This window comes from Homo sapiens, chromosome 11 (assembly GCF_000001405.40).
Source record: "Homo sapiens chromosome 11, GRCh38.p14 Primary Assembly".
NCBI classification, from domain to species: domain Eukaryota; kingdom Metazoa; phylum Chordata; class Mammalia; order Primates; family Hominidae; genus Homo; species Homo sapiens.
In genome coordinates this window covers 114,122,625-114,139,160 of record NC_000011.10, presented here as the reverse complement: position 1 = coordinate 114,139,160, position 16,536 = coordinate 114,122,625, and the positions used below count along the sequence as shown (strand labels likewise).

The window sequence follows — 16,536 nt, the reverse complement described above, 5'->3', positions numbered from 1 at the left end:
CTAGATGTCCATTTGCATCTCAAGACTTGCATTGTACAAATCCTCACAAAATCACTCTGGAGGAGAAAGAGACTGGCATCCATCTCTTACCTCTTTTTTTAGAAAACTGGGCTGAGAGAGCAGGTGAGACGCAGGAAATGAGTAAGGAGCCTTGTAAGAGGAAGGGAGTAGGCCAGGCACAGTGGCTCACGCCTGTAATCCCAGCGCTTTGGGAGGCAGAAGCGGGTGGATCACTTGAGGTCAGGAGTTCGAGACCAGCCTGGCCAACATGGTGAAACCCCATCTCTACTAAAAATACAAAAATTAGCTGGGCATGGTGGTGCATGCCTGTAATCCCAGCTACTCAGGAGGCTGAGGCAGGAAAATCTCTTGAACTCGGGAGACAGAGGTTGCAGTGATCCGAGATCGCACCACTGCACTCCAGCCTGGGCAACCGAGCAAGACTCTGTGTCAAATAAAAAATAAAAAATAATTTAAAAAAAAATTAAAAAAGAGGAAGGGAGAAAAGAGTGGTAGTTGACTCAAAACTCAACACAAACTTATTGCCTACTAAATGCAGGGCAGAGCATTAGCCACCACAGAGAGATTCAAAGAAACATAATACACAGGCAATGCCTTCAAGGAGCTTACAATTAAGTAGGGAATGCAAGACATATGTATGTAAAAGACTTTAAAACAGTGCACACTAATAATGTATGACAGGAATAAGGGAGATGCAAAACTTAGTGCTAGATGAAGAGGACTAAAAGTTTGGAATGTAGGCTCCAGGCAACCTAAGTAGAAAATAACCTCTTCTCTCCGTGAAGTTGATTGCCATCGGGGAACACCACAACCACCTCCAAAAACCTATGCCTCTGTCCTGCAGCTCTCACATCCTCTCCTGGCCTCCACTGCAAAATTCTACATCTACCAAGCTCGAAATATGAATAATATGAATGCTACCTGCTCCTCAGTCACATGGCCTGTTTTACTCTAAAATGGCAACCCCCGTAACTGTCATTTTGCATTAAACCCATGACTGGTCCTCCTGCCCTCCCTCACCACTTGCCTCTCTCTCCAGCTTGGGAACAGAGCCTGGCCGCTGGGGCTGCCAACAGGTCCCGTGCACCCTTTCATCCCACTCCATGACAGGCTCTGCCCCAAGGGCCCCACAGCCCACGCCTTGCTCCTTGCCTTCCTAAGAAGCTGCCAGCACAGCAACACCTGCCTGAGCGGTCCTCTCACCGATGCACAGCATGGGGCTGGCCACACTCATCACCAACATGCAGATGTGCACAGAGCAGTCAGGCAGCACCTTTCCCACCTCTGTCCTATTCCCTAGGGGAGGAAGGAGACTCCATCCAGGTCCCAGAAAGCCCCTTACTCCAGTGTGGACATTTCTCCATTGCCTTGCTACACTGTTTTCTCCAGAGAATCCATCCTATTCCCTCTGCCCAAAAAAAAGGGCATGGTCAACCTTAATGAAATAAACTGTAATAGAGTAGGCAGGTAACTTCATCTCCCTTCCAGAAGACACAATCTAATTCACACTCTAATTGTCTCGCTGGAAGCCTCCGGGCCTCTCTCCACAAGCGGGCTGGAAGGATTTGGAAGTGTCATGGCCTGGAACTCCTCAAGTCTAGTCATATAAATACTTAATTGCCACTGGAACATCCACATTGTGTCACTTTGGTATACCCAACCAGTGTGTGGCCAAGTTCCTTCTCTGGTGAGGCTGAGACACGGGAAGTGCCATTGGTGGCCTTTTCATCTTTCTCTTTCCACTTCCATTTCTTTCCCAAGACACTTCCATTTTGGAGAGCTCTTCCTCCTGAGAGCTAGGGAGAGGGCAGCGGTATGAGTGGGAAGACCAACGGCTTCTTTAACTGCTGTTGGCTGTGACCTTAATCACGACAATGAAGTTTAGTTTCTCTTTTGGTAGAGAGATGAGAATAGCAGACTTCAAATGGTAGAAAAGGGTCGGTCTCCTGAACAATGTACTCCAAAGGTCACTGCTGCATGCAGGAAACAAGAGAAGACACAGATGCAATGTCTGTTTCCATAATAGTTTAACCCTCTAAGAATCAGAGGGCTCAGAGAGCCTGGGAGGTCCCTGGGCCCTCTATGCATACAGGAATAAATGAATGTACTCAAGCATTCCAGACAGATCTCCCAGAATATTTTTAAAGACCTCCAGAAAAGAAATGCTATATAGAACCTGGGATCATTGTGGTGATCTTGGTGAGGCAGGAAAATGGGATAGGAAGTGTGAGTATAGGACATGTGACTAAGGAATGAGAGCTCAGTCATAAACCCCAGAGACAGCACGAGGTGACCTACAAGGGAGCTAATGCCCTGCAGTTAAAACTACACTTGAATCTTAAAAATAAAATGGAAGCCCCAAAGACAAAGTCATCCTCAGTAGAAATATTCTCAAGTTCTGTGACGAAGAGTAAAACCTCCCCCCAAAAAAACCCACCCCTTTTAGTAGGCAGTGATCTGCCCGATGATGACTTTCATTCATCTCTTGGTGGGGGCACACTGGAAAGCTCATCTCTGTAGCTACCACAACTCATCTACAGCCCTCAAACTGATAATAGAAGGTAAGAACCTCAGAACATTCCAAATGTTGCAATAGTAGGGGGAACAGCTCTCAGACTCTCACAAACTCTCTGTAAGATCTTGCATGAACCACTTATGCTCTCTAGGCCTCAGTTTCCCCATCTGTAAAATAAGATGCTCTTTCCTACTGACAGCCTGTGGACAGATCTGTGATCTATGAGCTCAAGAGTCCCTCCCTTATGTGCACAACATCTGGAGAGACTGAAGCCAGACTCTGTTTCCACAGTTGCTTTTGGGTGGCCCCCCATAGAGCACCCTCAGCCCCCAAACAGTGGGGGCTTTAACCTTTGCAAAATGCCGAGATAGTACTTGAAGGCTCATTTTTAACACTTCTAGGAGAATTCGCTTATTTTAAAAACTACACCCAGGTTGTTCACAAAAGGAAGACAAGTTACAAGAAGGACTCCAGCAAAGGAAGGTTGAGAAGGACATCAGCACCCCAGGCAACATTCCTGCTAGAGTCCAAGCCTAATGAATTCAATGGCATTCCATGCAACCCTCCTCCTTTACTCAGAGCCCTTGCCACGAGATTCCACACCGCAAAGGGAACTCACCGAAGAAAAGGAATCTCCCCCACAAGAAGGAAGTGAGGGGTACAGAGAAGATGTGGGAAAAAGGCAGATGTTCTTTCCTTTGAGCTGAATAGAAGCTAGGCTGAATAAGAGTCCATCCTCCCTGGCATTTCAGATAAAAAAGGACTTCTGCAAGTCACTTCCTGTTGCAAGAGCACCCGAGAACAGTAAAAGGATCAGCACTGGCTCCCATTTGCCCAAGGATGAGCCACTCAGATTTCTTCTGCCTCACTATATTAGTTCCCTTTTGTTGCCATAACAAATTACGATAAACTGAGTGGCTTAAAATGGCACAAATGTATCTTATAGTTCTGTAGGGAAGGAGTTCAAAATGGGTCTCGCTAGGCTAAAATCAAGGTGCTGGCAGGGCTTTGTGGCTTCTGGAGGGTCAAGGAGAGACTGTCCCCCTACCTTGTTCAGTGTCTAGAGGCTGCTCTCATTCCTGGGCCCATGGCTCACTCCTCCTCTGACTCTGACACTGACACTGACTCTTCTGCCTCCCTCTTCCACATTTAAAGACCGTTGAGGTTATGTTGGTTACAATGGACCCAGGTGGATAACCCAGCATAATTTCTCTATCTTAAACTCAGCTGGTAAATAGCCTTAAGTCATTCCTTTGCCATGTAATCTAACATACTCATGGGTTACAGAGACTAGGATGACATCTTTAGGGAGTCACTATTTTGTCTACCACACTCACAAATTGTACATCTTCAGGAGTGGGTGTTTCATTTCATCATGGCAGCCACAAGCTGCCATAAGGAGGTGGAGTGTCCCACGGAGGGACTCACAAGTCACCTTCCTAATACCCCAGGCACAGTATGCCAGGAATTTCTGGAGCACTGGAATGTATAGTTCCCCCCGGCATGATCCACTAGCTGTATCTGTCTCTGTGTGTGCACACATGGGTATACAGCTGTGTGATCTCAACCCCCAAGAGAAGGAACTACAGCCTATATGCATTCTTGCATCTTCCATGGGATCTGGCGCAACTCTGGAGTCTGAATGACTCAGTGAATACTGGTGGCTTATCTGATCCTAGGGCCAAATAATCCCAGAACCAGGGAATTGCTAAATCTTAGCTTTGGAATTAATCTGAAAGGTATTTATTTAAAAGAACACAGCAGTGTCTATCATACAATAGGCACTTAATTAAAGTTTTTCTCTCTTGCTTCTCTCTCTGGTTCCATTTCTTTTATCCATTTTCATTGTTTAAAAAAAATGACTTCACAGATGAGGAGGGTGAGTTAAAATATGAATAAGGACCAATAATGAAGCTTTTAGCACATTTGAGGATTTTCAGTTCTTCGAGCCTTACCTATCTCCCACCCATCAACTTCATGGTCATAGGAACCCTAAATTTTAACTGTGCTAATTACTTCAACTGTGCTAATTAATTTCAACTGTGTGGTCAGTCCTAAGTATAAAGGGCTATATCTAGTTTCTCCAGTAAGCCATTGGCTGACCCCATTCCCATTTATCAAAAATAATAACTAGCCCTTTCCTTACCCTCACATCTTAAGAGACAAATGAGCTTCTAAGCCTGTGATACCAAAAGCTCTCTATTCCCCACCTTGCCTTCTGCTACCACCAAGTTTGGATACCAAAAAGTACAAAAGAAAAAAGAAAGAAAGAAAGAAAAGGCCCAGTACGAAGCTGTCATGTGAAAATACAGCTCTGTTTGGCAGCAATGCAACCAGAGTTGGGAGATCAAACCAAAGCTGCCAGAGGTTTGCAAATCATTTTTTCCCTTTACCTACTTTGGCGCCAAGACAAACACCAGGGGCAGAGCAGAAGGCAAATGCAATGATGCTGGTGAGCTCGCAGAGTCCTACTAAATTAAGTGTGGAGCCCACATTCAGATTATGTTAAGCATTTTTCACAGCCCTGCCCATGCTAAGAAAAACTGTCACGATCCAGTGTTGAGACACAACCAGCTGTGCTCCCGTGCATCTCAGGAGCCACACTTCACACCTGCCAAGCTCTCCACTCTGGGCTTTTTGGGTACTGGTAAAAAGACGAGGCCACTGAGCCCACCTCCATGGGAGATGTCAACATTTCACTAGCCTGTGGGGGCCTCTAAGGAGATCCATGAGGGATAGCTGCCTGAGAAAGGTGTTCTTTGACACTGTAATCTGGCCATCAGCCTAGTCTGCGGTCCTGCTATAGTCGTAATAGGTCTCTGAGGACCATGGGGCCAACCCAGTGGAACACCTGTGCCACAATGCCCTTGGGCCACCAGGGGAGCAATTTCCATGGATGCTGACCTGCCAGGAGACCCATTTCCTCTACTTAAAGTCCCTGATCTAGTAAACCAGGGCCAAGACCACTGAGGCCCAATTTTCCTGCCTTATGCGTGGGGTCACTAAAGGGACCACAGGAAGAGGACCTGAGAGGGAAATCTTACCAGCCCGATGACTGCTCTGTGCCAGGGCTTCAGCCGAAGCTCAAGCCTTAAAATTTAAAAGCCCCTCAGGGGCCTGTTGGACCTCAAACTCACCTGTTGCTTTTTGAATTCCAAGATCAGAGTGAACTTTGGAGAGGTTGGGCCACCTCCACTCAGCGGCTAGTGGGCATGCAGGAAAGGGGCATGGCAGAAAAGGCAGATGGAGACCTTCAATGGAAGATCCAGTGGGCACTCTGCCAGCAGGCCCTGCTGGGGCTGACCAGCACCACAAGGTGCCAGGGGTGGGGCAGGGCTGGGGAGGAGCCAACGCCTCTGGTTTAGGGCATTCACTAGGATTGAAAACTGCACCCCCCACATTTTGTAAATGGACCCGTCCACCAAGAGAGTCTGGACACCTCAGCGAGGCAGGACACCAGTCAATTTTGTGAAGAAGGGAGTAGAGAGATGGACAGGCAGCAATTTTGATTTTGGCGAGATTTGGAAGGTTACCAGCACTGTGAGTAGCTGCACTATAAAAAGAGTCAGACACTAAGTATTTCCTTTCCCATAAAATATTCATTGCCGCATGGAAGAGCCAAGAAGCCGAAACCTCAAGCATTTCTAACTTTGTACTGCAGTAATAACAGAGTTTTATAGGAACCTTCTGATTGTACTTACACCAGGCTATAAATACACTTCTATCTCAGAGAAAGGAGGGGAGACACATCTAGACCCCCTCAGAGTCTATACTGTAACAAGAAAGACCCCAGGTACACCCACAACTCCATTTAGCATTTCGGCTAGCAAGCAGCAGATGGAGTAATCCGTGATAACAGCTCTTAAAGGAGTGCCTGCCGGGAGGCTCCGGCCCCTCTCATGAACAATGCTCGAGATGGACTCAAAACCTGGTTTATAAATGGTATTGCCGTTGCTTAACAATGGAACAATATCCAGAGCACTTTATATTTACTCAGCTCTTGGCAATTTACACAGGGCTTTCCCATCCCTTTATCCTGAAAACAAGCTTGCGAGGGGGCAGGATGGAGGCTCAGGGAGGGTAAGCAACTTGTCTAAGGTCACACAGCTAGAGGGCAGCGGAACTTCATCCCTCCGACTCTACCCCCAGGCCTCTGGTGCTACCATTGTCCCTACTGACAGACATTGTAAGGCAAAAGGCTAAAATAAAACTTGAGAGATGAAGTGTGTTTGGGCTGCATGGCTGCCCTTTGTGAGTGATTCAGAAAATCAATCAGTCTTGCAGGCATAGTTTTTTCCTTTTTAGTTTATATGAAATAATGAGCCCCTGCCAGAGGTTACCATGATAGGTAACCTGCACAAATAAATCAAGTATTGAATGGTGTATCTCTAACTACTCATATGCATTCACCAGACACACACAGACTTCATTTAACCCGTCTTGTACAGCATTCTAGACCTATACCTATACCTAATAGGTATAGGTTAACAAAATGATGTGTGACAGTTCCAGAACATTTGACATTAAAGTTTCATTTGAAATTAAGTTTAAAAGATTTTTTTTTTACTGTCATAAAGGAGGTCCTTCAGTCTTCCTAACTTCCGCCGCTCCCCCTTTCACACACACCCAGTTAGATTCTGCATAAGGCTTTTTTGGTATGTGAACTCATTGACTCCCAAGTATTTTCTCAAAGAAAGTCAAAGATACAGAGCATGCAAAATCTCCCCATTTTCCCCAAGATACATATATCATACCAAAACCAGACAGATTCTGCCGAAGACTCACTTAGAGCCATTCAAACCAATGAACATGTTTACACATTCTGAAAGCAGTTCTAAGTCTGTCATCGTCAGATTGTCTCTGACCCGCGGTAAGCAGAATAAACCCTGCATCATTAGAAAGTGCTACCGGAAGTCTCTGAGCATTTTAGTTTGAACTGCAATGAAAAAAAGGGGGGGAGCTATGTCCCCCCTCTCGGATTGTTTATTCTGCCTAGCTCAACTTAAAGCTAGTGTGGCCCTCATGGTTTTTAATGGCCCTAAATAACTGAATGAATTTGGGCATTCACTGGAGGGCCATCTGGGGACAGGCCTGCCTATCTGCAAACTGGCAGGCTTCCCTATTTGTTCTGTGGAACAATAAACGTCAATGAATTCGAAGTTTCAATTATTCAGAACGTTTCCAGCACCTGACCCTTAAAAAGAAAAAAACAGAGAAAACAAAAGATTTTATGTGCAAGAATTTAGTAAAAATTTTGGGACAAAAATTTTGAAAGGGTTTCTCAGCCTCAGCACTATTGGCATTTTGGACCAAATAATTCTTTGTAGTGGGGTGGGGGAGCAGGAGAAGGAGACTGTCCTGTTCACGATAGGAAATTCAGAAACAGCCCCAGCCTCTACCCACTACACATCAGTAAACAACCTCTTAGGTTGTGACAAGCAAACATGTCTCAGGCACTGCCAAATGTGCCCTGGAGGACGAAATTGTCCCCCATTGAGAACCACCATCAAAGGGTAAACATGAATCCAAGCTAGTTCTCCATCTCCTGTATGCCACTGTGCAATCACAAATGATAACCAAAATACCGGCCCTCGTGTGCTGCAAGATCATGAAACATCAAAGGATGCAATTACCTCACTACCTTCTACTTACAAAAGCAGGAAAATATCCTAGTCTGTTTTGCAAAGCATTTCAGCAGTGCTTGAACTAAAAGGATTTTCCAGTTAAGCCTCAGTTAGCCAGAAAATGTAATGAATTATCATCGCTCTATCCTGAATATTCCAGTTAACTGTTTCATTTTCTTTACATGCGCATACACACACATGCACAGTATCACCTTAAGCCACGCTTACTTAGCCTCATAAAGAAATTCAACTCTCAGCTGAAAGCATCTATTTTATTTAGGAGCAGTTGGGAGAGTGAATTGGGAAAGCAACTGCAGAGGAGATGAAATGAAGTTTTGATCACCTCACTGGATGCTGTCTTTTTGGTTGTCCAGAGCTCGCTAATAAAAGCCACTGCAAGCCTAGGGACTGCTGCCTACCCACATTCATAGCCAACCCATATACAAAGCTCATACATATTTGTAGATGCGTGTGCTCGCAAGCACACATGCCCATACACAGCCAGCCATCGATGCTGACACTTATGAATTATACACAGTCATGCCCTTGGGGCACAGCATCAGTCCTAGATTCACAAGTGCCACGTCTCAACTAACCTGAAATATGAAAGTGGAAGTGGCCAGGGAGAAGGCCACTCTCCAGCCAAGACCCTCCACCCTGCAGGGTGCACAAGGGCCTCCAACATGCCTTGAGAGTTTTTCAGCTCTCTCCAAAGACAATGCAGCTGGCGGAGTCCAGAGGGATACATTCCCTAAGGCTCTAGGCGGTCACCTGGATGATGCAGTCTTCTCAGGGATCAGGACACACCCTTGGGACATTTGCTGTTTACCCCCAGAAAGAGAGTGTGCCTTCAAAGCAAACAGGCCTCCCTCCCAAGCTAACAAGCAGAAACTTTTCGTAAGTGAAAGAAAAACAAAGCCTGCTCCTCCCTGGGCATCCTGTCTCTCTCTAGGACTATCATTAAGAGACACTTGATTTCCACACACACCTTGCTCGTCCAAGGAAATCAATATGAAAATCAATTCATCCACTGATATATTTTATCAAGATACATGTGGCAATGCCACATTTCATTTACGGTGCGGCACTCAGAGAAGCCAAGGTCACTGGATAGAAAGCGGGCCGCAGGAGAGAAGGAGGGGGGAGAAGCCCATATTCTGTGCTGGCTGCAAATAGAAAAATGAATGAAATAGGAACAGAGATAGAAAAGGGAGCCTAGGGATGCAACAATTACTGTATGTAGGAGGCGCAGCGTCATTGCGGCTTGCCAGCTTGTTTAAATGTGAAATAGTTGGTAGATTTAAAATGCTAACTATTTTTCTTCTGACCATGGCAAATGGAAAATGGTTTCACAAGCATGCCAGTCAGTAGAATATAAAATATTTCTGAGCAGGAAATGAAGAGGGAGGAAGAAGAAAAAGGGGCGGAGGGCAAGAGAGACCAGACAGAATCTGGCCAAGACAAAGAATGAAAGGGAATAGGCAGGTGGGCCAAGGGGCGCGTGCTGGGAGCCTGCGTAAGGCAGGAAGCAAATGGGCATTTCAACAAGCCTTGGGGAGGAAAATTATGATATCTGCATGGCTGCAAAGGGGCATCGTTTTAGTAAATTTGAAAGTGATTTGCCACACACGACACCATCCTACTCCAAGGGTTCTCTGCCGGCTCCGGTGGCTGCGCCACGGATCAAATGTACTCAGTAATTGCAGAGTCACTGCTACCCTCTCACCTCTAAACAGAGCAGATTAAAATAGCATGAACAGCTATAATAACAGGTTTGGGATTCAGCTTTTTACAGCCAGAAAAATGCTTATGGAAATAAGGATTTTGCTGACTATTTTCAAAGTGAAGCAAAGGAGAGAAAAGTAGCCACTGGAGCTGAAGACAAAATTGTACCTGGTGCCAAGTGGGTTCTGGGCTACCACACGCCCCCACCCACGCAGACCCAGATGAAAGTGGCCAAACAGATTCTGGGCACCTGAACGCACATGGGGAGCTGTGCTCTGCTCCCTCCCAACCCGCCACTGACACTGGGGCCTGTCTCTGTCCCTTTCCTTCTTGCTCCAGAGCTCAAGAGGTCCTGCAAACTCTATTTGGGGTCTTGGAGACTCTATCTCTCCCTGGTGTTTGCAGTAGCCGCCTCTGGGCTGCTTCAGTGCCCCAGGGCTTGGCAGGATAAATAGCACATCAGGGGCAGGTGACAGACGTGTGCCCACCTCTAGGGAAGGCACTAACTTAAAACCCTTCTAAACCACCCAGGCCTTCAATGGCCAGAACCCACAGCCAGACACCACTTGTCTCTGAGGACCTGAACTTCACTTTACAAGATTACAAGTCTCCTCCAAACACACCCAGGAACAACAAGCACAGCTAACCCTCATGAAGTGCTTACTGTGTGCCAGGTGCTAATAAGGGTTTTATTGGCTTCACCTCACTGCATCCCATAACACACCCTAGGAGCTAGTCGCAGTTTTTACCCGCCATTTCGCAGGTGAAAAAAACTAAAGGTCAGATGTTTAAGCAATTTGCCTAAGATCCTACAGCTAGAAGTGTTGGAGCTCGGATTCAAACCCCAGACTGTCTGACTCCAGAGTCTGAGATCTTCACTTCACCCCACTGTGCCCATGTGGCCACGGCCATGCAGAAGTAGTGGGTGGCTGTCGTATCCGGGAGGTGCTCCCGGGTGTTCAGGCTGGCAGAGAGCAGGTGCCTGGGCAAATGGATCCTGGTCATGCAGGGTCACTGCCCTTCCAAACCACCAACACCTTGGGATCCCCCCCAGGCTCTCCTAAGGAAGAGACATAGCTCTAGTGGCTTCTCGCCCATGGCTGCAATGGTGGACACACTGTGCTAAAGCCAGGGACCAGACGAGACTGAGTTCCCAGAGAGACAGAGATTTTCCAAAGTCTATCAAACTGAGCAAGAAAGGCTTAGATCCAGACAACTCCCAGCCCTATACCCTTCCCACTGAATCTTTCTTAACTTGCTGGGAGTCGCTAGCAATGGAGTCAGGAGGCTGGGGATGGAGGAAGGACTTCCTCTCAGTGCCAAGACTCTAGCCTTCCAAGGGGGAGACGGCACCAAGATTCTGCAGCTCCATCCCAAGACATGTGCTGAGCTTAGGTGCGCTGTCCAGGGCAAAAGGCTAATCACATGACCCAAAGCTCCTCTCCCGGACTGTGGAGGAAGCACATATGGCATCAGATGGGAATCAGAGTCTGCATAGCCATGTGCTAACAGTGGATGGAAGATTCAGGCTTCACCAGCAATGCAGTAGGCCCCTTTCTGAGTTCTTCTGACTCCCCAGCCCCTAAATAACCCCATTCTGAGGTCCCCTTTCTGATCCTTCCCTCCTCTAACTATTGACGCAATTCCTAGTCAAGAGCTCAAAATCAGGCACTGCCTCCTACCCATCCACAAGCACCTGAAAAGCAAAGTATTCTTAGCAACAGCAGAAGCAGCCATTTAACAGAGTGTGTATGTGTGTATGCATGCATGTGTGTGTGTGTACTGGGGTGGGGAGTGTGAGGGACATCAGACCATTACAGTGGTTCTCTAACTTTAGTGTACATTGGAATTATCTGAGGGGGCTTATTTAATACAGAGTTCTGCTCCCACTCCAGGAATTCTGATTCTGGCCCATCCGTGTGGGCTGAGGAATTTTCACACGCACACCATGGGAGTCCAATGCACGTGGCTCAGCAGGTCACTTTGAGAACCCTTGATCTGCAATGGAAGAGAAGAGACGTCTAGGCTGGGGATTCTCATGAGAGAAGCTGCACCAGGAGGGCACATCACACAGGAAAGGCTTTGAAAATGCATACGACCCCCTCCCACCATCACGCTGAGATGAAGGGGCTACACTGCTGTCACCAAGCTCTGTGATCCAGGGGAATAGTGGAGTTGGGGGGCAAGGGGGAACTGCAAGAGCCAGGGAGTGCTAACCCTGGGGTCCAAGGCTGGGTCCAGAAGCCAGCATTCCCTAACCTCTGCTCCAATGAAAGAAGAAAGGACAAGGTCCTGGCCTTCAAGATGCTTACAACCTGCTGCGGAGAAGAGACTATTACACCCAAAACAATCAAGGAACATGACAAGCTGATTTCAAAATAACCACAATTTCGTCAGGCAGAGACTCCATTCTAGAGTTGACTGGGAAGTGGAGAAATCAGGATGGCCCCTCGTAGGTCAAGGAGCTCACTGGGTCCTCAGGCCATGAGTGGCTTCTCTCCCAAGGTCATGTGACCTGGGCCTCTAGTTTCAGCCAAGGACACACAGGGTCTCCCTCCAGTTTGTGAAAGTCTCCAAGGAATAGACTTTCAGAACCTCGCTCAAGAGACAGTAATGTCTGACCATCCCTTCAACCTCTCACCTCACCAGTGTCACTGCAGCCGGATCCCTAACCCCATTCTTGATGAAGACAATGCCAGGGCCACTCTCAACAACAATACTCAGCTTCCTTAAAATGGATGTGAAGGGCCTCACTACCTTCTCTGTTTTAGACTACATCCACCCAGCTCTACCCAGGACCAACCCCAGAAGACCCAGTTGAACAGGCTGGCCCAGATCTATAGTCACCCACAGCCAGTACCACCTCAATAACTTGACATGTCCCAGAGGTGGGAATGAGGCCGGAATGGACAGCTGCCAGGAAAACTGCATGGATAATGAAACAGAGAGAAAGAGTTATTAAGGTTCCTATTTTATGGCTCCTTCTAGATCACATATTTCAATACAGAGCAGCAGATTCACCTCGTTTTAAGACCAGATGGGGCAGAGCTGGCATTAGACAAAAGCATTATCCACGCCTGGGCAAAAGAAATGGATTCCAATGAGAGATCACAGAAGCAAAAGTCTCAGTGCCAGAAAGATCCTAAAAATGGCAGAACCTATGGGGCACAGCTTGTTCCAACCTTTCCATCTAGGAGGACACATTTAACAGGAGCAGGAGGCTGTGGATATGACTGATGACTTGCTTCCCAATGTACTCCAGAACTCTCCTTTTACAAATAAGGACACATCACTCCAAGAGTTGGAGTGTGCAAACCCAGATCTGGCTCCAAAAGGCAGTGATATTTTCACCTCTTCAGGAGAAGGCTGCTTTGCTCCTTTTGTTCCCTCTGTTGCCTCTTCATGTGAAAAGAGATGCGTATTGTGGAGTGAACTTCCTTTATGGGGGTCAAGTAGGACCGTAAAAGACCTCCTCTAGCTGTCTGAAACGAAAAAGGTCTAAAGCAAGATGGCGCTCCTGCAACAAACAGCACCTGGACCCCCTCCAGCCAGCACCGCTTCTGCCCTAGAGGGAAAACCAAAGGAGGCCAGGAGGTCCGACTGATCTGGGGGAGGAGACTTGGAGGACACCTTTCACCTCCTACTTTCCTGCAACCATCTCCTCCTTGTGAAGGCAAGACAGGCCCCTTCTGCAGGCTCGATGAAAAAAAAAAAAGTCCTACAAGGAAAGACAAAAATGAAAACAAGAATGACATCATGTGGAATTTGTGTGGGAAACCTGTTGTCGGATAGTTAGATAACCTTGGGCACACTCCTCAACTCCATGGGCCACAGCTTTCTCACCTCTAACACACAAAAAGATAATACCACCTGTCTCCTACCTCAAAAGGCTGCTCTACGGTTACATAGATCAGGAAGGAAACCAGTGGGGCAAACTATTAAAAATCAGTAAACTCCAAATGGGTAAGGTGATATGGGTGCTCTCTGTATTATTCTTGAAACTTTTCTGTAAGCTTGAAATTATTTCATAAAAATAAAGCACATTCATTTCCCTAGAGGAGAGCTGAAATGGAGAGCAAATAAGGAATACTGTTAATTCTTTATAGATATCTTTGTACTGCCTCTCTTGTTAAAATGAGTGTGTGTTACTGACACTGCTGTCATTTTTTTTTTAACTCCAATAGAACTATAAAGGAAAACAGGCAGATGAGGAAGGTAAAGGATCTGGGATCTGTGGCTGACCCCGAGAAGAGGGTCAGGCCCAGTAACTATCTGCCTCCCTCCCACCCTTTAGCCCACTCCCTTTGTGCTGGGAGAGCAAGAGAGTGAGCATGACCATGCCTCCCCAAACACAGTGCAAGCTTCCTGAGGTCAAGAGACTGCTTCTCTTCTTGCTCATGAACTCTCCTCCTCCACAGCACCCTCGTGCTGCACTCCACACTCAGTGGTCATTCAATACCTGCGTCCAACTGACAATGAGAGCAAGTGAGAGGCTGGAACAGGTGTACCCTGCACAGTCATTAGAACGGAGAGATTTTCATCAGCCTGACTTGGCTTAACTGTCTCCTTCTGGTACATGAAGCTCAGGTTTCAGGGATATGGCCAAGAGATGCTGATTTGCCAGTGGCCGAAATGGTGAGGTCTTCTCAGTGCTATGGACCCAAAGGGTTAATGTTCAGTTGGTTTTTTTTGTTTTGTTTTTGTTTTTTTTTTTTTTTGGTTTTTTTTTTTGTTTTGTTTTTGCCTCTTCCCCCATCCCCTTTCCAAATGACTGGCCTTAATCCCAGAGCTTAGCAAGGCTGGAATTCCAGAACACCTCAATTCTGGACCTTGTTTGGTAGGGGGTTGGCGAAAGAGGTTCAGGGAGAGATGCTAAGAGAGAATAGAGGGTGGGAGAAGCATTTGGGGGTAAATCTGAGGACTCTGTTGCATGCTGTGGCCTTTTCAGTCATCATAGCCATGAACACATGGCCACCCAGAGCCCCTCTTCTTCTAATAACCCCTGGCATAAGCGCAGGTGACAGTGATGTATTAAAAAATAAAGAAGGCTGTTTGCTTCCATAAGTTACCCTGACCCCGCAATGAGGGCCTCGCATCACACTTACGGTGACTGCTAAATTGAGCAAACATGACACAGATGTCCTAAGAGTCACAAAGAGAATCAGGCTGGACTTCACTCCCCATTACCCCCGACCATCTCCGCAAAGCAGAGTGACCTTAAAAGCAGAATACATCTGCTGAAACCCTGTTGAAATTATTCATATGTTTTGATTCCTAATTCAGAAATAATAAGTGGTTCATGGGTTCCAAGTTTAAAAATATATTCATCATCTGGTCTCTGTTGCGGCACGTATCCCACTGGCACTGGAGGTGACACCACAAAAGGCTCCCGTAGCAGCCTGGCGCCCGTATATCCATTTAGCCACAGGTGACAGGGGTGGGTGGCTCCACTGCTCCTCTTTTCATTTTATTAAAACCCTATTTTAAGGCCACTGTCAAGAAGAGTGACTTAATTCCTTTGGAACATAGAGCTAAGAGACTGGCAAACTGTAAATCTGGCTCTTTCTTGACTGCTCCTCAGAAAGTACAAGAAATGGGAATTTAGACTCAATTTCAAATACCATGTGTAAACTGAGACACAGGGCAGCTCATTAGGAGTGTGTTCACAGCCAACAGGAACCCAAGGCCACCCTCAAACATTCCTTTTCCAGAAAGTCCTCTCTAATTACATACACACAGACAGACATGTGCATACATACATATATGTATATATATGCCTGTACATATGTGTATATATGCACACATCTCGTATATGGATACACACACGCACAGCAGGACTATTCACCCCAAGTGCAATGTGTTTGAGTTCGACAATGAGGTTTAGATTCTAATCTGGCACAGGACATTGTCTTGGCAGGGTATTCAGCCTTTTCATCTGCACTGGTCTCCTTCTGGGGGAGCCAATGAGATCCATTCTATTCCCAAGGCCCAAGAGTGGATCCCAGCAGCCATGTTATCCTACATGACTACTATGGACTGAATTGTGCCCCTCTACAATTAATATGTTGAAGCGCTGATCTCGAATGTGACTGTTATTTGGAGACAGAACCCGTAAGGAAGTAATTAAGGTTAAATGCGGTCCTAAGGGTGGGTCTCTGATCTGACAGAATAGTGTCCTTGTAAGAAGAGACACCAGCTCACTGTCTCTTTCTCCACCCTGGGAGGACTCGGCGAGAAGGAGGCCATCAACAAGCTAGAAAAAGAGCCCTCCCCAGACACCAAATCTGCTACCACTTTAATCTTGGATTTTCCAGCCTCCAGAACTGTGAGAAATAAATTTCTGTTGTTTGAGCCACCCAGTCTGTAGTATCTTGTTATGACAGCCTGAGCAGACTTAGATAAATAACACTCACCACAAAGCCTTCGGTGAGTGATTGGCCAAGAGTGGATAACTATCCAAGCTGCATCAGACAGACTGTGTCTCTTTCTAGAATTTGGGATACACACAGGGAAAGCTGAATCAAGCCTGGTCACATGTAAGCCTGGGAGTCCTGGGGTGGTCATTTTTCGACTCTGTGGTCTGCAGAGAGGTGAAAATGGAAATACGTGCAAAGACTAAACAAGCATGAGAAAGAGAGAGAGAATTCCACC

The 16,536-nt window shown here is 46.6% G+C and overlaps 1 protein-coding gene across 6 annotated transcripts in view; it reads right to left on the bottom strand.

Annotated features, from left to right (window-relative positions):
* Positions 1-16,536, bottom strand: part of ZBTB16 (zinc finger and BTB domain containing 16) — a 197,060-nt gene that overhangs the window by 117,610 nt on the left and 62,914 nt on the right. The gene's annotated exons all lie outside the window — the stretch shown is intronic.